Source organism: Homo sapiens, chromosome 9, assembly GCF_000001405.40.
Source record: "Homo sapiens chromosome 9, GRCh38.p14 Primary Assembly".
NCBI lineage: Eukaryota > Metazoa > Chordata > Mammalia > Primates > Hominidae > Homo > Homo sapiens.
Genome location: NC_000009.12, coordinates 115,353,762 through 115,376,727, shown reverse-complemented (window position 1 = coordinate 115,376,727; position 22,966 = coordinate 115,353,762). Strand labels below are relative to the sequence as shown.

The 22,966-nt window shown below is 39.2% G+C and overlaps 2 long non-coding RNA genes across 4 annotated transcripts in view, besides 1 other annotated feature; one reads left to right on the top strand and one right to left on the bottom strand.

Moving 5' to 3' along the window:
• DELEC1 (deleted in esophageal cancer 1) overlaps positions 1-22,966 on the bottom strand; it is a 260,827-nt gene that overhangs the window by 25,917 nt on the left and 211,944 nt on the right. The window contains exon 5 of the long non-coding RNA NR_163556.2: positions 13-86. This is a non-coding gene — a long non-coding RNA (deleted in esophageal cancer 1). The remainder of the gene's footprint in view (positions 1-12; positions 87-22,966) is intronic.
• Positions 2,635-3,834: an enhancer, noted in NCBI's record as "MED14-independent group 3 enhancer chr9:118135173-118136372 (GRCh37/hg19 assembly coordinates)". NCBI's record gives its function as "activates an origin of replication core promoter dependent on BRD2, BRD4, P300/CBP and CDK7 cofactors, and independent of MED14, by STARR-seq in HCT116 cells {active_cell/tissue: HCT116}" and the evidence as "EXISTENCE:reporter gene assay evidence [ECO:0000049][PMID:35650434]".
• Positions 8,299-22,556, top strand: LOC105376232 (uncharacterized). Of its 3 annotated transcripts, XR_930265.3 has the most exons (4): positions 10,312-10,684; positions 12,500-12,625; positions 19,474-19,637; positions 22,483-22,556. It is a non-coding gene; the product is annotated as an uncharacterized LOC105376232 (long non-coding RNA). The 3 variants fall into 3 exon arrangements; XR_930266.2 differs by lacking the exons at positions 10,312-10,684; positions 19,474-19,637; positions 22,483-22,556 and adding exons at positions 8,299-8,955; positions 13,859-13,973; XR_930264.2 differs by lacking the exons at positions 19,474-19,637; positions 22,483-22,556 and adding an exon at positions 13,859-13,973.

The window sequence follows — 22,966 nt, the reverse complement described above, 5'->3', positions numbered from 1 at the left end:
AGAATATCTTACCATTCATTGTCATAACTGGGCTGCTTTCAGGTTTCTCCTTGTCTTTCTCTCCCACATCCAAAGTTCCTTCTGTACTAATGAGAAAGAAATTGTTTTGAAAAACAATGTCTGCTGTATGTATATATCAAGATTCAAAATAAAAAGTGTATAGTAACTACTAGGTTTCAGACCCTGTGGTAATTGCAGTAATATGAAAATTCAATTTTTATTTTATTAATAATACTAATAAAAGCTGTCACTCAATAGTGTCAATAAACTATGTTAAACAATTTTTACATTATATAATTTTTTTCACATTATATGACATTATGTGATTAAATTTTATAACAATCTGGGTGAATCATATGTTAGTATTCCTGCTAAAAATTTTAAATTAAGAGGTAACTGATGTGGTTGACTTTGTGTCCCCACCCAAATCTCATCTTGAATTATAATCCCCATAATCCCCACATGTCAAGGGACAAATCAGGTAGAAGTAATTGGATCTTGGGGGCAGTTTCCCCCACGCTGTTCTTGTAATAATGAGTGAGTTCTTCCAAGATCTGATGGTTTTATAAATGTTTGGTAGTTCCTCCTGCATTCATTCTCCCTTCTGCCACCTTGTGAAGAAGGTGCCTTGCTTCCCCTTTGCCTTCTACCATGATTTCTAAGTTTCCTGAGGCCTCTGCAGCCATGCTGTACTACCAGTCAATTAAACCTCTTTCCTTTCTAAATTACCCAGTCTCAAGCAGTTCTTTATAGCAGTGTGAGAACAGACTAATACAGTAACTGTCATAGATTAATTGACCCAAAGTTTAAACCCAGGTCCATCGAGACCAAAGTTGAGTGCTTTGTCACCACCATCTTTCCTCTCCTAGAGGAGGATAATGTGACAGCAGAACTTGATGGGGAGGTCAAATTCTGGTTGAGATTGGCAGCAGAGTGGGCTGCTAACTCCCTGGATGGACTATGACAATGTCCTTCCCTTCCAGCTATTTTGGTTGACTTTGAAACCCCTCATATTTCTAACAACACGTGAAACTTTGAGTTAACTCTAGGATCACGCTGGTGGAAAGGCATAATAGTTTCTGGCATTGTGTGGCCCTTCAGAAAAGGATAAATTTCTATAATAAATAGGACCATATATTTTTCTAACTGAGAAAAATTTGAGAATAAAAGGTATTATCATTAATATTTACACCTAGACATTGGGCAAAAGCCATGACTGTTCTGGGCAAACTAAGAAGTATGATCATCATAGTTATTATATGCTTATCTCTCCAAATTCACAGCCACTAGCTGAATGTGTTCAAGAATATGAAAAACAAGTGCTGTTAGAGAAAAGACAAAATGAAGGTGGGGAAAGGGGCCTCTTGAATGCACCAAAGTTAGCATTATTGCCAGATCAATATGAAAGGAGTGTGGAGAAAAAGCTATGCAGTGAAAGGAGACACATATAAAGAAAGATAATAAAAAAAATTTCCACCTTTCCCATTGTGCATTAAGTTTGACCTTGTACCGTCGATCTATTCATTATGGTGACACATGCTAAGAGCAAGATTTTTCAAGTTCTTCGTAATTCTATCCCTAGGCATTGCAACCATTACTAGCACAACTGTGGTATACCTTTCTCTTTGAACAAAGAGTCTGCGGACAAATGTGTCAGCTACAGGCATGTCATAGCTTATATCAGAAATATAAGGTGACAGCTAACCATATTCCAAACAGTCCCCCAAGCCATAAGGCCACAGAGAACATGCCTCCACTGGATTCTAAAGCTGACTTGCCATGAGTTTGATCATTAACTGTGGCTTATGAATTGCTGCTTCAGCCTTTTTTATTCAAGGTGACAGCTCCCTTTTTTAAAAAAGGTGAATTCTTAGCAGCAAGGATACACAGATGCTCTCTGCATCTTTTCCCTCCTCTCAGCCATCCTGTGGAGAATGAAGTACACATATTAGGGGAATGAAGTGGGTCCAATCTTGTATTAGGAATTGAGAATTCAATGATGAATTAGACATGGTTTTTGCTTTGGGGGAAATTCATCCTCATTTGATGAAACAAATAGGTTTATAGGAAATTCAATATATCATTGTCATTTTGCCAAAATTTATTTTATGCCAGGCATTACACAAATATCTCAGTGAATCTTACTACCAATCTAATAAGGTAGGTTTTGTTGCCCCAATTTATAGATCACATGTTCTGGGTCACAGAGCCAAGATCTCAACAAAAGTCTGTCTCATTCTGCACTCACTCGACTGTTCACAGTCTCCAATGGCTTCCCATTTTACTCATGGGAGAAGCCAAAGTCCTCACTGTGACCTAAATGACCCTATTTTTGTTTGCCATATTTACAGGATTTCCCCCAGTCTGAACACATGATAGAACTGTACTTCCTGCTTCCATATTTTAGGTCAATCCAACTAATCAGTTCATTCCAATGAATGATGTGTGGAAATAATGTGCATCAATTTCAGGCTGAGCATTGCTTCCCCAAGGTGAGACCCAGCAGAAATCTCTTTTTATTTTTTCCCCTATAATAGCACAGATATTCGTTGCTCTATAGTCAGAGTCCTAGAGCAAGGAAGACAGTGAAGTTGTGGGAGCAGAGGCCCCTTCTGGCCCACGATGAAAATTAGGCGAGTGGAAAAGTCACTGAGATTCCAGTTTGTTAATTATTGCATGTTGGCTGCCTAACCTCTCTTGATTGATAAAGCTGCTTTATTTTTTTTCTCTAACATATCACCACAGATCCTACTGTGTAGTTTACTTATTTATCATGGTATTTCCTGTCACCCACATGAGAATGTCAGCTCCATGAAGGCAAGGAGTAAGTTTAGCCAATTTTCTTCACTACTATATTCCCCATAGCAAGAACAGTGCATGGTTTGTTGTAGGAAATCAATAAGTCTTTGTTGAATAAATAGAATCAAGCTACCTCATTACATCTATGAGTGATAAGACAAAGTTATGTTTGGGAAGCTACTAAAACACACAAAAAGACTGATTCAAAATGAGGCTGGACTTGTGTCTTTCCCCCGTGTGACCCCAGTGTTTAGTGAGTGTCTGCATTGCGGGAACTCTATATATGATTGTTGAGCTGTTACAATGAAGAGCCTCTGCTGTGGCTTTTGTAACTAAATAACTCACCAGGCAAACATGCATTAATAATTACTCCACTCTCCTGGTGGTGAGACCTTCATCTATCACCCTGGAGGTCTTAGTCATGGCTTAGTCATGCCCAGTGACTCACCTCCATTCAGCTTTTCGCTTAGTGATGTTCCTCTCCTTTTTCTATAACCGTTTTCCTCCTTTCTGTTTTATTTTCTTTCCTTTTTCTTTTATTTTTAGAGATGGGGTCTCACCATATTGCCCAGGCTTGTCTCAAACTCCTAGGCTTAAGCAATCCTCCCATCTAGGCCTCCCAAAGTGCTGGTATTACAGGAGTGAGCCACCACACCTGGCCCTCCTTTCTCTTAATTCACACCCCATTCAGGTGTGTCTTGAATAGTCAGCCTCAAATGACTCTTAACCTCCTTTCAGGACAAAGCAACTCTTTTTGTTCCCTGTCACTAGAGGCATTTGTTCCAAATTGCAGCCTCAGGAAACTGCTGCAGGCAAACAGGTGGCGTATCTGTTGAAGGATCCTAAAGGAGATATACATTCTCTTCAAAATATCTTTGCACACTGGAAATAATGCTGACTTCTGCTTAGCTCTGAATGAACGTTCTTCTGAAGGATGTCTATTTGTTTGTCCAGGTGACATCTAAAGGACAAAGTTCCAAATCTGAACTTTCTTCTCCTGAAATCTTTTCCATTTTGGTGTTGACACCACTTTCAGGCACCCAAGCTCTCTTTGTAACCCAACTTGCAACCTTCACCTAAAGCAACAAAATCAAATGCCATCATGCTGTTGTCACCCCTTGTATCAGTCAGGGTTCTCCAGAGACCGAACCTACACTCACACTCACACACACACACATACACACACACACACACACACACACACACACACACACACACTTATCTTTAAGGAATTTTCTTACATGATTGTAGGGACTGATAAGTCTAAAATTTGGATGGCAAGCCAGTAAGCTAGAAATTCAAAATCTACAGAGCAGAGCAGGTCAGCAGACTGAAAACTCAAGTAGGATTTCCTCGTTACTCTTGAGGCAGAATTTCCTCTCTGAAAAACTTCAGTTTTATTTTTCAGGCCTTCAACTGATTGGATGAGACACATTGTCAAGAATAATATCGTTTATTTTAAGTCAACTGATTGTAAATGTTCATCGTGTCTACAAAATACTTTCACAGCAACATCTAAACTACTGTTTCACCAAACAACTGGGCACCATAGTTTAGCTAAATTGATACACAAAATTAACCATCACACCCTGCTGTGGAAGGTTTGCCTTCCCCCCAAATTCATATGTTGAAATTCTCATCCCCAATATGGTGGCATTAAGAGGTGAGACCTATGGGAGGTAATTAGGTCATAAGGGTGGAATCCCCTTGAACAAGGTTAGTGCCTTTAAAAAAAAAAAAAGAGATGAGAGAGCTTGCTTTTCCTCTCTCTGTTCTCCACTATGTGAGCATACAGAGAGAGAAGATGGCCATCTATGAACCAGGAAGCAGGTTTTTGCCAGATGCAAACCTGCAAGGATCTTCATCTTAGACTTCCAGCCTCCAGATAGGAGGCTGGAAGATATATGATAAATAAGTGTGGGTTCTTTAAGCCACCCATCTATGGTACTTTGTTATAGAAGTCCAAACTAACTAAGACACACCTCTATATCCTTTACTCTACAGCAGACATTATTAATCAATCACTACCTTTTCCTAGATAAGTTCAGATGAAGTTTCATAATTTCTTTCATGATAGCACTAATGCCAGCCATTATTAATTGGTCAAATCTGGGATGTGGGTTGGAACTCATCTCTGGCTTGTACTTCTAAAAGTAAGTCTAATCATTTGTCTTTCTTGCTTAATGGTTCCTCATTGCCTAAGATTCCATGTCACAAAATATTAGTCTTACAAGATAGTCTACCAAAAAGAGATTCTGTGATCGAAAAGGTTTATTATAATTGATACATCGTGCCTCCCTCTAAAAATCGAAATCCTGTGGAACCGAGGCAATTAAAATTTGATAACGCAGTTTTTCCAAAATCTACTTGACTACTCAAATCATTCTTCATATTTTACTCACTAACATTCTGAAAAATACATTTTGGAAAATGCTTGTCACTAAAGGCCTTTCCAGATCTGGTATCAACTATCTTTCCAAACCAATCTCTTTTGTTTCTTGTTTGTTTATGTTTTGTTTGAGACAGAGTCTCGGTGTGTCGCCGAGGCTGGAGTGCAGTGGCACAATCAGGGCTCACTGCAACCTCTGCCTCCCGGGTTCAAGTGATTCTCCTGCCTCAGCCTCCCAAGTAGCTGGGATTACAGGCACACATCACCATGCCCAGCTAATTTTTGTATTTTTAGTAGAGATGGGGTTTTGCCATGTTGGCCAGGCTGGCCTCTAACTCCTGACCTAAGGTGATCCACCAGCCTCAGCCTCCCAAAGTGCTGGGATTACAGGCGTGAGCCACCATGCCCGACCCCAAACCAATCTCTTTTGAATCAAAGTGTTCCATGAATACCCTCTACACTACCTTCATCCTGCATGTCCCTCAACTTCTTAAATTAAATGATTCTGCAACACCTATGTTCATATTCCTTGTGGCAGAAACAATGCTATGTGCTCAATTAAGCTCTGTTTTCTCCCTGGGCCTACAGGAAGAAGACATTTCCCATCCTTCTTTCAGTTGTGTTGGGGCCATGTGACTTGTCTGTCCACTGAGATGTAAATGAAATGAAGTAAACCACTTCCAGGCCTGGCTCCTCTACTTTCCACTTGATCCTCCATTCCCTCCCTCTCTGTCTCTCTCTCTCTCTCTCTCTTCTCTAACCAGGTGGCTAGAAACATAGGACTCTCAAAGGGTAGAGCCACATGATACAAGAAGCCTATATCCTGAGTGACATCATAGATGAGAGCACTGCCTCACCCCAACAAAGAGTGAAGAAGAAATTCTTGTTGTGTTAAAGCCACTGATACTTTGGGGGTGTCACAGGAGCTAGTGTTAATCATCCTGACTATTGCAATCTTCCATAAAGCCTTATGGAAAATACTTATAGTCTTTACATTCAAAGTTTTGGATAAGACTTATGCCTTAGCTAGAATAGACTTCTCCTTTTTCAAATTTCCATCATAATTTAACCCACTCATAACACTTATCACTTTCTATTTTTCATTAGCATGTTTGATGTTGCTGTTGTATCTCTATTTCTAGACTTAGAGCTTCTTGAGAGCAAGATATATACCTATTTGATCTCTGCATCCCTTCACCTCACTTTGAAGAGTAAATTGTACATAATAATTGTTAATCTTTATTGAATACAAGATGCCATCAAGATTATTTATATTCTAATAGCAAATTTCATCATGGTAAGAAAAAGCTGTAAGTCTTAAAAAGACTTAGGAGCTATAGCAATGGGACTCTGTTGCCAAATTTGACATACTGACTAAATTGTGTCTCACTCACCCCTGTATAATTCCTTGGTACCTCTTTATGTAGAAAGCCAAACTGAAAAGTAGAAAATGCACAGATTTTGGAATTAGAGAGAACTTGGCTGAATCCCAATTCTTTCACTTGTTGCTCTTTGATTTGGGAAAAATGTTTTTACACTTCTAAGCCTCAGTTTCCTTATCTTAAAATCAGAGATCAATCCCCATCTCATGAGACTGCCATGTGGATTAAATAAAACCTTGAATTTAAAGTGCCCAATAGAGGGACTGGCACATGAGAAAGTGCTCAGCAAATGGCAACTCCCTCCGCCAGGGCTTGGAAAAGCTGTAGCTGCTGACATGTCAGCAGGGGCCATCCTGGCCAGGGAAGTTCGCCAAAGCCCTAAAGGAAACTGGATGGCTTTTAAAGCAAAGTTGATTAAATATGATTTTGCAGCTCCTGCTGAGAGACGAGCTGCAAGGGAACAGCTGTGTTGTTTTATTGGGGAATCAAGGATTGAATGCCATATGAAGTCCTCTTTAAAAGAATCTAAAACAAGTTATTGATGCTACTGAGCAGTTTGTTCAGTAAATGAAGTATGCTCTCAAAGAGCCATGGCTAAATGGTGAGGTCAGGACAAAAAGTAAATAACGGTTTTCTTTCCTCATTGGTCCTAACAGATTAAAGCATACATATATCAGTGTGTCTGCCTGTGTCAGGCTGAGCCAATTCAACAATGATGCAACTCTATTACTCAGTGGAAAAATGACCAATTAGAGCAAAGAGTCTCCTAATCTTTTACATAAACATGTTGGAAATGGGAGTCCCTGGTTGGCAATTCGAAATGGGCAAGTAATGACATATTCCTGTAACAACCGTTATTCTTTATTTGGAAGTGGTGATGGAGAATGGAAGGTTTACGAAGTGGAGACATAACTGTTGTAGATTTGTTTTCTCTGTGTGAGTGTCAGGGAAACATGGCAGAAACTGTATTAAAGAGACCTGGGTTCAAGTCCTGGCTTGTCCACTGTGTCAGGAGGTGAATCCATTTCCCTCTCTCAGTCTTGGTTTCCCTGCATGACAGAAAATTGCACCAGGCAACCAACCTGTAAGCCCTTCCTGCATTTCCACTAAGCTTAACATCTTAAGATTCGTTTTTTTTTTTTTACATTCCTTGAGCTTGTGGGAAGAAATAAAATAGTTACATATGAGGTGGGATTGGGAGACTTAGTTTAAGAAGGAGCATTTAGTCTGGAAAGAAAATAATGAGAACATTTAGTTCAGTTCTCCATTAAAAGATAATTGTCAAATTTGAAGTAACCAAATGGAACAAAGAGATGATGGTTTTATTGAACTTTTCTGTTCTCATCAAAGTTATTATTCATAATTTCCTATATAAGCATAGAACATAGCAGGAAAGACTCTCAAACAAACCTCACAAATCCTGCCTCCTCCAATGACAAAAGCCAGCATTTATTTTGCCCTTGGTATGCGCAGGCACTATGCTAAGTGATTTTTAAATTTTATTTTATTTTTCCTCATCATAGCTGTAAGGAAGTAGAGGTTACTATTCTCATTTCCCTAATTTAGAGACAGGAAATCAGTTGCCCAAGGTCATGAAGTTGGGGATAGCATTGGAAAGCAAAGACAGCTCCTTCTGTTTTTCTTACAGAATAATTGTTCTATTCTGTTCTCCTTCTAGTGTCCTTCATTTACTCCTTCAGCAAATGTTTACCAAAGATTTGCAACATATTAAATGCTGGAGATTGGTTCTGTGCCAAGACAAGAAAGGTTCCTATCCTCAGAAAGCTTGTGTTCTAGCTGGGAAAAGGCATAAAATAAGCACAGTCGCACACAGGAATATGACAAAAATGCCAGCTAATAGTGAATAACATGCAGATGATAATCTTAGAGTAAATGTAAAACGGGAGTGGGTGACTGTTTTATATTGAGTGCTTTGAGAAGGCATCTATCTCTGAAGGTGTGACATTTAAGCTGAGGCCTTGGGAAAAAATGTCTGACCTCTTTGAGCTACAAGTCTCCCATCTGTAATATGGGAAACATTAAGATGTGCCCAGACAACAGGATTTTAGAAAAGAGCAAATGAGACTGTAAAAGTAAAGAACTTAGTGTCCACTAAAAATCTTGCAAGTGCAAAGATTTAACAAACAAGTGTTCCATTCCTCTATGATGATACTACACTTGATTCAGGATTTCTCAACACATGCTTGAGTCAGGGTCATAACAATAATGGCTTAAGTTTACTGAGCTCTTTTTTACTATATGCCAGGCAGTATTCTCAATATTTTGCATGTATTAAGTGATTTCATTTTCTCAACACCCCTATGAAGCAAATACTTCTGTGAGCCCCATGTTACAAATGGAGAAACCAAGGCTCATGGAGATTAAGTAAGCTGGTCAACTTTATGTAGATAATAAGTAGTGAACTCTGAATCCTGAGGCCATGTCCTCAACTATCAGACTTTGCTGTTTCACGTATAATTGTCTTTGAATCTGTATCTCCAAAACCCTCTCTTGTCCTAGCAGGAGTGTAAAAATGCTTACGAATCCCATATCACCCTCGCATTATTCAGTTTTGCACCAGACGTTGTGACCTCAGCCAGGAATATAACCTGTCTGGAGACCAATACACAGTGCTGCATTTTCTCCAAATGATTCAAGATCTTCCTAGCACTCAATGGGCCCTGAGAACATATTTGATGATAAGAAGCACAAGATAATAACAGCAAACTTTCCAAAGTAATGAGTTATTCAGCACCATAAGTATTCAAAGTTTCTAGGCCCAGTGGTTTTTCATCAGGGGTGCTGTATGATTGACATTTCATATCACCTAAAGTATCGGTTCAGGATCTCTGCAATGCTAAAAGACTACCTTCTCATAGAGGTATAAAATAAGGATCTCCCTTGCCTTTCTGTGCCCATAGATGAGGTAGGACGCTGTCTGTAAAATAACACTGTAGTGCTGCTCTTCCTCCTCTTCCCAAGGATACCATCCACATGTGTCTGTCACTTTCAAACTAGAAATTACCGCTCCTCTGATTTAAAGCAAAAAAGGGTTCAGTCAGAATGAATTTGTGATTTCTGGAAGGAGGTGGCTTATCAATGACAAATTCCAGAGCTATCACCTCCTGCATTGGGTGTTTCCCTACAGAAATAAACAAGGGACAAAAGATTGGCTCGGACAGTGAAAGGAGTAAGACTGAGGGCAAGGTCCGGATTGGAACCTAAAGAGAGAAGTTGGAAGATAAAGAAACAAATAACAGAGTATTTTCCATTTTTCCTGAGACCACCCTCAGACTTCTAAAAATATCTCCAAACCATAGGAAATGTTTTCTGATATAAATCATAATCCAGAAACAAAAAGTGGAGTCAGGGAAAATAAAAAGAAAACTCCTTATAGGCATTCCTGCTCATTCTCAAAGAAGGAGCCTTGTACTCACAGTCCAAGAGGAACAACAAAAAAAAAAAACTAGCACTGTTATATTTTCCACACATCTAGGAAAGTATCCAGTTTATAGACTCAGTGGTTCATAACCAGGTTTTTATTTTCTTTTATCTCTGTCAATTCACAAAAGTCAGTCTGTGTGAGGCCATCAAACTGAAAAATAAAGGGTTGAAAGTAAATTCTGAAAGCCAAAGGAAGAAAGAGGCTGATTCAGCAGCCTGGAGACTGGGCAGAAAGTCTCCTTTTCCCTGAAATAAGGGCCAGACCCAACGTGGTCCTTCTATGGCTGGCACCTAGAGGAGGCGTTGATGATTAGGCCTGCAGAGTCTCAGAGCAGGGTTCCAGTATTTAAAGTTCCAATTCTACACTAAGAATGGTATGCGACAGAAATGCAGGGTTCTGAGCTTCTGTTTTCTCCAATCAGTTGGAAGTTCTGCATGTAGATTATTTCCTGAGGGGCTGATTTATCAAGTCAGTGGCAGGACAACCTGATCAAAACTTATGGCTGACACCCTAAAGATAGCTTCACATGGTAGCAAAAATGAGCAAAACAGACTTGAGTTCTAATTCCTCCTCCACTTTGGCCCAGTTGTTTCCACTTTCTGAGCCACTTAACTCAACTGTAAATGTAGAATGGCAATCCAAACTTTATTCTTGTGGAGTTTGAATGAGGTAATGTAAATAACATTCAATGTCCAATATAGTGAATTTTCAATACATTTTGTTATTAGCATTGTTTTTATACAATATTATACAAAACTATACTTACTATTGAGAGAGATTTATCTTGCAAATAACTGCCCTATCCTCTTTTGCATTTTAAAATCTGAATATCAGAAAGTCTGTCTGAATGGATTAATTTAATTATAAAATATCATCAGCCAGGCACGGTGGCTCACGCCTGTAATCCCAGCACTTTGGGAGGTCGAGGCGGGAAGATCACGACGTCAAGAGATCGAGACCATCCTGGCTAACACCGTGAAACCTCGTCTCTACTAAAAATACAAAAAAAAAAAAAAAATTAGCCGGGTACAGTGGCAGGTGCCTGCAGTTCCAGCTACTCGGGAGGCTGAGGCAGGAGAATGGCGTGAACCTGGGAGGCGGAGCTTGCAGTGAGCGGAGATAGCACCACTGCACTCCAGCCTGGGCGACAGAGCGAGACTCCGTCTCAAAAAAAAAAAAAAAAAAATCATCAGTTGGTTGTTGCCAGGGGCAGATGTCTGCTTACAGCCCATTCAGATGTACATATTAGGTTGGTGCGAAAGAAATTGCAGTTTTTTGGCATTACTTTTACTGACAAAAGCTGCAGTTACTTTTGCACCAACCTATAGAATAGCCTACAGAAGCTTCCATGAATAAAAACTGTGGACCTGACAGTTTTGAATAGAGAAGGCCTTAGATTAACTTTGTGCCTCTCCTCGACTGAACCAACCACATGTATATAAAATATCTTAAGAGAAACCCCAGGCATGGCAGGACCCTCTACATACTTTGGAAGCTAATCAGCAACCCCAAATCAAGGGTAAAATAAATATTCCCATTGGAGTGGTCATGATGAGATCAGCTTTATGAAGTCATATCAAAGCCCATTTTATGCTGGCCTTTTATTTTCATAGGAGAAACGTGAATGCCAACAGTGACTTGGAGAAATCATACAATCTCTTCTTTTTTTTTTTATTTTTTTTTGAGACGAAGTCTCGCTCTGTTGCCAGGCTAGAGTGCAGTGGCACGATCTCGGCTCACTGCAACCTCTGCCTCCCGGGTCCAAGTGATTCTCCTGCCTCAGCCTCTAGATTAGCTGGGACTATAGGCGCATGCCACCACACCCAGCTAATTTTTGTATTTTTAGTAGAGACGGGGATTCACCATGTTGGTCAGGCTGGTCTCCAACTCCTGACCTCATGATCTGCCCACCTTTGCCTCCCAAAGTGCTGGGATTACAGAGGTGAGCCACCGCACCTGGCACGGCACAATCTCTTCTTTAGCTACTCAAGAATTTAGCTTCAAGGCCTTCGTTTCCAGCTTCGAGGCCTTCTGCATCCCTTGTACAGATTTTCCTGGACTTGTATGGAAATAGTGTTCATTTCCTCTCCCTTGTAGTCCCATTGTTCTCAGTGTCTGCACTGTTCATTTGGGACTTAATATTCAGTCACTTATCTCATGCAGAGAAGTCCTTGAGCACCTACCACAGGCCTGACTCTATATGCAGAGATGAATAAAACACTGTCCCTACCTTTAAGTATCTCACGGTCTAGATCAGTGTTGTCCAAATGAAATAAAATGAGCCCTATACATAAATTTAAATTTTCATGTAGACACATTTTAAAAAATAAAGAGAAAAAATGAAATTAATTTTAATAACATTTTCACTTAGCCCAATGTATATATTAATTTCAATAGGTAATCACTATAAAACTACTAATGAGACAGTCTACATTGTTTCATAACAAGACTTTGAAATGTTGTGTGTGAATTTTACATTTCCAGCATATCTCATTTTGGACTAGCCATCTTTCAAGAGCTCAACAGCCACGTGCTATTAATGGCTACCACATTAAAGGCTCCAAGTCTAGATGGAAAATAAACAAGTAAACCTATAAACACAGTTAATAGGTAGGTATGCAGGGTTTTAAGGGAGAAAAAAATTGGTCCCTAACCTAGTATCGTGTGCATGTACATGTATATGTGTTAATATCTGCTTTCAGGTACCTGACTGTATGGTAGAATGAGTTAAGAGAGGGAAGTTTCTTATAAAAGAGTCATCAATGTTTTGTTGTTTTTAATAGCATCGTTATTAAGATATATTTCATATGCCATAAAATTCACCCTTCTCAAAGATTTCAATAATTAAGCTACATCATAAAGGGTGATTTTATTACTTGGACTACTAGAGTAGAACATTCCAGACTGAAGAAATAGTATTTTCAAAAGTTTAGCTATGTGAATAAGTTTAGCATGTAACAGAAAATTAAGTCATTTTTTGTATGATGGTAAAAAGGGGCCTTAAAGAACATTAAGAGATGAGGGTAGGGGAGGCACTGTGTATCTTTGAAGGATCCCCCACCCCTGGCCCACAGACTGATAGTGGTCCATGTGGAACTGGGCCATAAAACAGGAGGTGAGCAGTGGGCAAGAGAGTGAAGCTTCATCTGTATTTACAGCCACTCCCCCTTGCTGCATTACAGCCTGAGCATTAGATTCTCATAGGAGCACGAACGCTATTGTGGACTGTGTATGTGAGGGATCTAGGTAGAGTGCTCTGTATGAGAATCTGTCACTGTCTCCCATCACCTCCACATGGGACCACCTAGTTGCAGGAAAACAAGCTCAAGGCTCCCACTGATTCTACATTGTGGAGAGTTGTATAATTATTTCATTATATATTAATTATATATTAATGAACAATGTAATAATAATAGAAATAAAGTACATGAGAAGTGTAATGCACTTGAATCATTCTGAAACCATCCTGCCCCCCTCAGTCCATGGAAAAATTGTTTTCCACAAACATGGTCCCTGGTGCCAAAAAGGTTGGGGACCACTGTTTTAAGGCATTTGAACTTGATCATTAAAGCAATGAAAATCTATTGAAGTTGTTTGATTGCAAAAGTAGTAAGAGATCGGGATCATTGTGGTGGGAACTGGAGGAGTCAAGTTTAGAGGCAGGAGGTCTTATCTACTGACAGCTTGATTTATTTGGAGGAAGGGATTGATATTTGGTCTGTCTTAAATTTTAACATATGGTACATTTTCTGTTGTATCAAATAGCATAGGGACTCCCCAAGGGCAGGGACTGTTTGTTATGGTTTTTCTGTTCAATGTTCTTGGTCACTTGAATCCCTTTAGATGTTTTTCAGCTGCAATCTGTACTGTGACTGGAATGAGAAAGCCTTAATTCATACCATCTTCCGATGATACAAGACAAGCAAGTTTGTAATTTAATAAACGCAGTCAAACCTGACCTTTGCAATGAACAACAAACATCTTGTAGCCTGAAATTTAGTCCCAAAAACTTGCCAGAGACACTGGATAATACTATACCTTGATTCTTCTGCACATAAAGTCCTGGGCATACAATTTCAAATGTGTGTCTCGAGCCTTCCCATAAAAGATAATTATGGAGTTCTTCCTTCTAAGATATTAAGATAATTAGAATGATGTCTCACAAAAAAAAACATGGCTTGTCAAGATGGACCCAATATGTCAGGAGATAGCTTATTAAAAGGATGAATTACATGAAAAGTAACTTGGGACCAGCCAGATGGAAGTTGTCACCTGATGCTTTTACCATGGTGAAAGAGCTGCCTAAATGAAGAAATGTACTGAGCAGATTATGGAAAACTTAAACCAGAGTCAAACTTGAGACCTAGTCTCTGATAAATGACAATACTTCATGTCCCTTAGATACTAAGCCATGTAAACAAATAATAACGCAAACGTGCTACTGCTCCCATGCATGCCTAACATGTTATGTGTGCACCTCTGACATTCTCCTGTCTTGCCTCATTTGTGATTTAGTGTTTAAAACCATCAGAATTAGCTAAGTTGTTTGGGTAATCTCTTGAATAATTTGGTACTTGTCATGATTAGTTGAAATTTCTTTTGTTTATCTCTATGTACTTCAGAGAGACAGTAAGAAAGAGTGGGTTCTCATGCCGGCTTTGTGTTTACAGGTCTGGAGAATTTAGACAAGTTACTTTCTCTCCTGGAGCATCAGTTTCCCAATCTTAGAAATAAAACATTCACACTTTAATATTCCTCTAAGATCTGAGAATGACCTTCAGATATTTATGGACAGGTCATTCAGTCATGCTAAGTGACCACCGATGAATCCAATAAATACAAAGTTGCAAATGTTTATTGAAGTCACATAACATTGCTCAGACAATGCTTGGGACTTTTGAATGTGGACTCTTTTCTCCTAGAAAGAGATTTCAGTGTACACCTTGGTTTACTGTTTACCTCCATTTCCCTTTCTTAAGGATAATAGTTCCACAAATTTCCTTAGGAGAAATGACCTGCTACCATTCTTGGATACCCATTTCAGGCAGTTTTGACTGATCCCCAGCGATGTTCTTTCGATCACTGCCTGTGAATAAGCATGTTGACCTGGAGTATCTGGCTAGTATAGCCACCTTATATTCTAATATGATAACAAAAGGATAGAAAACAAAGAAGAAAAAGACAAAATAGTCTTTTGGTAATAATCTTGAGTCACTGATGTGAGCTGTACATAAAGTTCCTCCTACCTCTGAAATTTTGGATACAACCATAAATAAATTCCCCTTCATTTTCTAAGCAAGTTTGACTTCTTTCTGTTACATATAACTAAACAGTACAATGAGTTCAGTGATGAAGACTGCATCATACCTGAAAATTCTTCCCTGTTTTTCAAACTCCATGGCACCAAATATCTTTGTTAGGAAATCAGTTTCATGGACTGATTACAAACATTTCAGCAAGTCTCTTCACCTTAAACAAAACTGTTTTTCTTTGTGTGTAAAAGGCGATACTTAACTAGATTTTTTAAAAGTTTATGCAATATCACAATGTATTTCCAGACAACTAAATCTTCCAGACAACTAAGTCAAATCAGTGTCTTAGACAAAACCGTAGTTAGGTTATTGGTAATTGTCTAACAATGTACACAAAATAAGATTATTTCTGATGTGAGTATTAAGGGGCTAAATAAGATGATTTAAAGTTGTTTCAAAACTCAACTTCCAACTTCCCTGAGTTCAGTTTATGACCACATGCAGCATTAGATCAGGGTTGCCAGAACCACTGACTTCATACATGACACTGTGATATTTTATTTACTGTACAGCCATTTTTTTTTTTTCAGCAATATAGGAAAGCATTTCAATCCCAGACAGCCTGGGTTTGAGTCCCAACTCCACCACCTCTGGCCATACATCTTCATGCAAATTCATACATATTTCCACCAGGCTTCTGTTTTCTTCTTTGTAAAGTGAGAATAACAGAATTCACTATCTTATAGGGTCTTTGGCAGGATTAAATCCACGGTCACTATAAATCTTAGAACAGCACATAACACAATATAAGCATTCAATAAATATAGTTATTCTCAGTGGTATATTAGAAAACATCCAAATTTAGGATGGCTTCTTATCTTAAATGATCTTTTCTGAGTATCCCAGAAGAAGTATATAGCCCTGTGCTGAGAATTTTATATATAAATGCATTATACATAAAGCTATTATATATTCACAACAACTCCACGCAGGGATGTTAAAAATCACATCTTCCCTATAAAGAAACTTAGTCTCAAAAAGATGAAAGTCCATAGGTGGTAGGGACAAAGGCAAGGTTGGAACGCCATTGTCTCTGGGGCTTAAATACACATATTCCATTCTATTGCCTATCCATGCGAGATGACTTGTCCATCTCTGCATTTCTTTGGGCTGGGCATAGGCCTTCCTTATTTAGTCTGTTCCCTGGGATGAATGCTTGCTTATCCATGCGAGATGACTTGTCCATCTCTGCATTTCTTTGGGCTGGGCATAGGCCTTCCGTATTTAGTCTGTTCCCTGGGATGACTGCTCTTCTATTTGTCTCCTTCTCCTGTTTCCCCCATATTCCCATTTTGTTCATGCTATGGTGATTGCAACACAGAGGAAGATTGTTCCTCCTATGTCAAGCTCTCATATGAGGCACCAGGTGAATTATTTAACCTAGATTCTATGATCATATAACACAAGTCAGATGCTAATTTAAATGAATTAATGGCTCTTCATTTCCCTCAGAATACAGTTTATTGATCCATTTAGTCTTTCAACAAAGATGTACCAATGTTCCAAGCACTCAGCTAGTTCAAATTCCTTGGACAAGATTTGCCTTTGGTTTGCTTTTCCACCCTCAACTCTCACTATGTCCAACTTTGTATACAAGACTTTGTGCATTCTTTACAGTTTCCTGTATGTGCTACGCTTTTGCTAATTCCTAGGTCTTTATATGTTGTTACTTCGGCAGAAATATATCCTAATATCCCATGTCCACTTTGCCTGGCTTACATTTACCCTGCCTTCAGACCTCAGTTCAGCTGACACATTTTTCTCACAGTCATCACTAAATGTAATCTGGCCCCAAAGAGGAGGCAGGAACCTTGCTTATGTGTCCCAGACATGTCCCTGTGCCACTGTCCCATTTGTTATAATCTATTGACATTTCCTGTCTCCTTATCTAACCCTTCACTGCAAGATAACAGTCATGATAGCAGAGATAATACTTTATTCCTGTCTAAATCTTGAGCACTTAGCAGAGTGCTTAGGGTGCTGTGTGAGCTCAATAAATATTTTATTAATAAAAGAATCAGCTATGTGATCTTTGAACTGGTATGGGCGGGATTGTAAGAAAGGCAGATGTTATTGGGAGTCGCCATGCATTTCTGGTCACAGGGGCTGGAAGCAACTTAAAGATAACAAGTTTCAAGGGTTTCCAGTAATCAATTCACTTAAGCCAAATCCCTGACACTTGAGTGCCTGACATGACAATGCCATAATTCTTTGGTCTTAAACTTCCCATGAAACTACGTGCTTAATCACCCAAGGAGAAGGCTTGGGTTAGAGAAAAGTAGCCTGTCTCTCTGACTAAATTCCAGACCCATGAAGAACATGGAAACTTGTGGGGGGTGGAAATCAGTCTTCAGGGAGATGTATTGGAATAATGAGTAAAATTTTCCCAAGTTCCCAAGAGCTGTGTAATAATATTTAAAGAGTTCTACTGGAAACAACACCTCTCAAACATAATTATCTTAGAAAAGCTACACATATAAAAACACGTTCAGTTCTACTTACATTGCAAAATTCTGTCTTCTGGCTTCAGTGAATTAGTAACAAAATCTAACTGAGCATCTACTATGTACCCAAGAACTACCATTATTGAGCATTTACTCTGTGCTTAGCACTAAGTGCTTTTCATAAATTATCTCATTTTTTCCTTACAGCAACTAATAGCATTTTCCTCACTGTATTAGTTCGTTCTCACACCGCTATAAAGGTACTACTAGAGACTGGGTAATTTATAAAGGAAAGAGGTTTAATTGAGTCACAGTTCCACATGGGGAGGTCTCAGGAAACTTACAACCATGACAGACGGAGAAGCAGGCACATCTTACATGGTGGCAGGTGAAAGAGATAATGTGTGTAGGAGGAAATGTCAAACACTTATAAAACCACCAGATCTCACGAGAACTCACTCACTATCATAAGAACAGCATGGGGGAAACTGCCCCCATGATCCAATCACCTCCCTCCCTCAACACATGAGGATTACAGGTCCCTCCCTCAACACATGGAGATTACAATTAGAGATGAGATTTGGGTGAGGACACAAAGCCAAACCATATCACTCACTTCACTGAAGAGAAACTTGAGGCAAAAAGAGTTCAGTGCTTAGATCTGGGATTCAAACTCAGGCATTCTGACTTCAGAGCCTGACCTCCTAACCAGTTTGCCATATTTACTCATATTCATGCATACATGTAATTTAACTCTCACAACTGCCCTAGTACATGGTTGCTTTTATTTACATTTTATAAATGAAAAAATACTCTCATTCATAAATTCAGCCAAAAATTTCTAAGAAGCTAGCACTGTATGGGCAAGTAGTATGTCTTTTCTTTTTTCCCCCTGTTCTAATTTCAGCTCCCAGCACTGTGTCTGCCACATGGCAAGTGCTCCACATGCCTTCTTTGAATAATTAGGAAGTACTTACTGCTTCATGGTCTTTGTTTTTGTCCCATTCGATCCCACTGCAATCTCTTACTAGGACTAGGTAGTACCTCATCACTGGAGTGGGCAGCTTAAGATTTTATTTAAAAGAAAAATAAAGCAAATCAAGAAAAGCCTCATGGGAGCACTTAAAAGTGGACTGTTAGAAGTACATGAAAAGAAAAAAAATAGATATTACTTGTGTCTATATATATTGTGTTACATGATTCTAGAACAAGTAGGTTTGGAGACATCTGGGAAACTGTCTGAATCTTGCCATTTTCCACTGGAAATAAAGAATACAGGTGCATACATTTTTTTGCACACATAGAAATTATAACATTTTATTTTTATAAATAAAACTTATAAAAAGTTTTATAAAGTAAACTTTTTATAAATAAAACTTTTATTTATAAAACAAAATAAAACAAAAATATTTATTTTTAAAAAATAAAAAAAGGAGATGCAGGCAAGGTAAAAGACACACACACACACACACACACACAGAGGGAGAGAGAGAGAGAGAGAGAGAGAGAGAGAGAGAGAGATGGGGTGCCATGGTTTCTATTTTCAAAATGCAAAACATGCTTCATTCTTTTCTCAAATCTCTAGTGAAGGCAAGATTACCATTGAAGGGACACGTCTGTCAGAAACATCTTCAGTGAAATTCAGATCTGGAAGTTCAGCCACTCCATTCCTATAGGGACTTACAAATTTCCATTATTTCAGAGAAAAGAACTTCCATGAAAAGGCGCACTCCAATCCTGCCATTTCTCAGAAAAAAACTATCTTTGAAATAAGAGACTAAAGAGCAGTCTCGAATCAGAGTCCTCCCTTATGTCATAAAACTAGCACCTCAGCCCTGACAAAGACGGAAATCATTTTGTGCACAGGTAAGTAATGGAATTGTTTTATCTATCCAGAAAGTAACTGGTGTGCTCCACTGGTGAACATAAAGTGTTACTGACATAGAGACCCTAGGGAGGCATTCTTCAAATCCTAGCCAGTCTCTCCAGTCTGAGGAAGTGTTTCCAACCACTATGTTATCCCCCTCTGATAACACAGTCACAGTGATAAGAGAGAAATCTTTGTTGGGGTGCAGGGAGCAAAGAGAGTTCACATTCTTTGAAAGTAGCGATCGTGGCAGATTTCACCTTCCTTCCATCTCCTAGCAAGGGAAGTTGAAAAACGAACATGTATTAGGTCGGATTATATGTTGAACTCTGTCCTAGTTACTCTATACGTGACTTTTTTTAACACTTATCACAAACCTACTAGAGAGAGATTGTTTTACCCCATTTGACAGGACATTGAAACCCAGGAGGAAGCTCGTTCTTGGCCACAGAGTAAATCAGTGGTAGATCTCTAACCTGGACCGAGATCCAAATGGCTTCAAAACCTATACCCTTCCCAACACACCTTACAAACTGCAAGGAGAACATAAAATGAGAAGAATCAGAATCTAGCATTAGAACTATAAACGTTAGTGAGAAGATCATAAGAAGAGGAACTATAAACCTGGATCTCACTTCTGGCCTGGCTACAAACACTCTCCATCACACTGAGCCAGTGCTGAATTTCCCTGGGCCTCAGTTTCCTAATGTGAAAGATGAGGGGGTAAGGTTTGCATGAAGTCTGAGAACTTCCTGGCAATAATGAATAGCTGTGAGATGACAAGTATTGGGTAATCCCTTTGCTAGCATTCAATGGTTTTGATCATCACATTTTTTTTTAGTTTGCAGACATCTGAACTAGAAAGTGTGTTATACCATACAATATACTGGAAAGTTCTTAGATTTTGTTGTAGAACATTTATGAAAACACATTTTTGCTGTATTGGTTGGTACAAAAAGAACTGTGGTTTTGGACCACGAATTTTAAATCATTATAGCTAGGGTCAAACACATCTTTATTAATCAAAATAGGAACCATTACAATAGACATATTTTTGCCAATGAGGAATAAGTTTGCTTATTCCTGTAGAGTAGAAATCTATGCTTTGGGATTCAATAAACTCTTGGAAAGCATTTTTCTGCATCTTGCTGGTTGTGGAAGCGTTTTCCCTGCAAAAGTTGTTGAGCTGCTTGAAGAAGTGGTAATCGGTTGGTGAGAGGTCAGGTGAATATGGTGGATGAGGCGAATCTTCATGGGCCAATTTGTTCAAATTTTGAAGTACTGGTTATTCGACATGCAGTCAGGTGTTGTAGAGAATTGGACCCTTTCTGTTGACCAATGCCGGCTGCAGGTGTTGCAGTTTTTGGTGCATCTCATCGATTTGCTGAGCATACTTCTCAGATGTAATACTTTCACCCAGATTAAGAAAGCTGTAGTGGATCAGACTGGCAGCCGGCCACCAACTGGTGACCATGATTTTTTTTTTGGTGCAAGTTTGGCTTTGAGAAGTGCTTTGGAGCTTCTTCTCAGTCAAACCACTGAGCTAGTCTTCACTGGTTGTGGTATAAAATCCACGTTTCATCACATGTCACAATCTAATTGAGAAATGGTTTGTTGCGTAGAATAAGAGAAGACGGCACTTCAAAAATGACTATTTTTTAATTTTCACTCAGCTCATGAGGCACCCACTTAGCAATTTTTGTTTTTTTTTTGTTTGTTTGTTTGTTTGTTTGTTTGTTTTTGAGCCGGAGTCTCGCTCTGTCGCCCAGGCTGGAGTGCGGTGGCGCGATCTCGGCTCACTGCAAGCTCCGCCTCCCGGGTTCACGCCATTCTCCTGCCTCAGCCTCCCAAGTAGCTGGGACTACAGGCGCCCACCACCGCGCCCGGCTAATTTTTTGTATTTTTAGTAGAGATGGGGTTTCATCCTGTTAGCCAGAATGGTCTCGATCTCCTGACCTCGTGATCCGCCCGCCTCGGCCTCCCAACGTGCTGGGATTACAGGCGTGAGCCACCACGCCCGGCCCACTTAGCAAGTTTTTTAACCTTTCCAATTTACTTCAAATGCTGAGTGACTGTAGAATGGTCAATATTGAGTTCTTTGGCAAATTCTCATGTAGTTGTAAGAGGATCAGCTTCAATGATTGCTCTCAACTGGCCATTGCCAACTTCCAATGGCCAGCCACTATGCTCCTCATCATCAAAGCTCTTGTCTCCTTTGCAAAACTTCTTGAACCATCATTGCACTGTACGTTTGTTAGCAGTTCCTGGGCCAAATGTGCTGTTGATGTTGTGAACCGTCTGTGCTGCTTTATGACCATTTTAAACTTGTATAAAAAAATTGCTCGAATTTGCTTTTTGTCTAACATCATTTCTACAGTCTAAAATAAACATAAAATAAACAGCAAGTAATGTCATTAGCAAAAAATAAAAGCAAGAAATGCCCATTAAAATGATGTATAACATAACCACATTTATTTAAGAATGTATTTCAATATCAAATGGCAAATTCCAATAATGCAAAACCACAATTACTTTTGCAGCAACCTAACACTTTCTGGTTTCAGTTGTCTCATCTGCAAGATGGTGTTTATGAAACAGATCTTACAAGTTAGTGGGTAAATGGAATACTATAACTAAATGCTTATAAAAGTGCCTGGCAAAATGTAGGTGTTCAAGAAAGGTTAGTTAGGTGGAGGATGTGGGAGGACTATAAAGTTGGAGTGGTCACTTAATGTCAGAGATGGGAAGCTTTTTTAGACCTGAGTCGTGGGGGGGAAATGCAACAGATATTTAAGAACATAAAAATGTGTGCATTGAAAACATATTCTTCTCTTTGCATTGCAGAATTTATCCTCTGAGCCACTTTCTCCAGGAAGAGCTCCTGGAGTTATGTATCCTCCCTTCACAGTAATTCCTCCTTTCCTCACATCCCTCATCATTGCCTACTCTGTCACTATCAGCCCACTCTGGGTATGCTGAGTAGAAGATGACCGATTGCTTTCAGTTTGCTTCATTTTTGTTTTTGTGTCTTACAAGTTAACGTAGAAGTCAGGGCCTGACTGCTGTTACATATTTGATAGACTGCAGGCTTCTTGGAGGAGGGAATTTGTATTATTTCTACCCACATTTTTCAGCGTGCTAGCACGTAAGTACCCAATAAATGTTTACTCAAATAATGGATGAATGGTTCAATATCCTTTTAACTGTGTTTAGCCATCAACATGTGGTTACTATTAAGAGTTCAATTTCCCAAGGCAAGCATGAAAACCACTTCCTGATCTAACCCACAGACACCTCTTCAACTGCAATCTTGGACATGCCTCTGAAC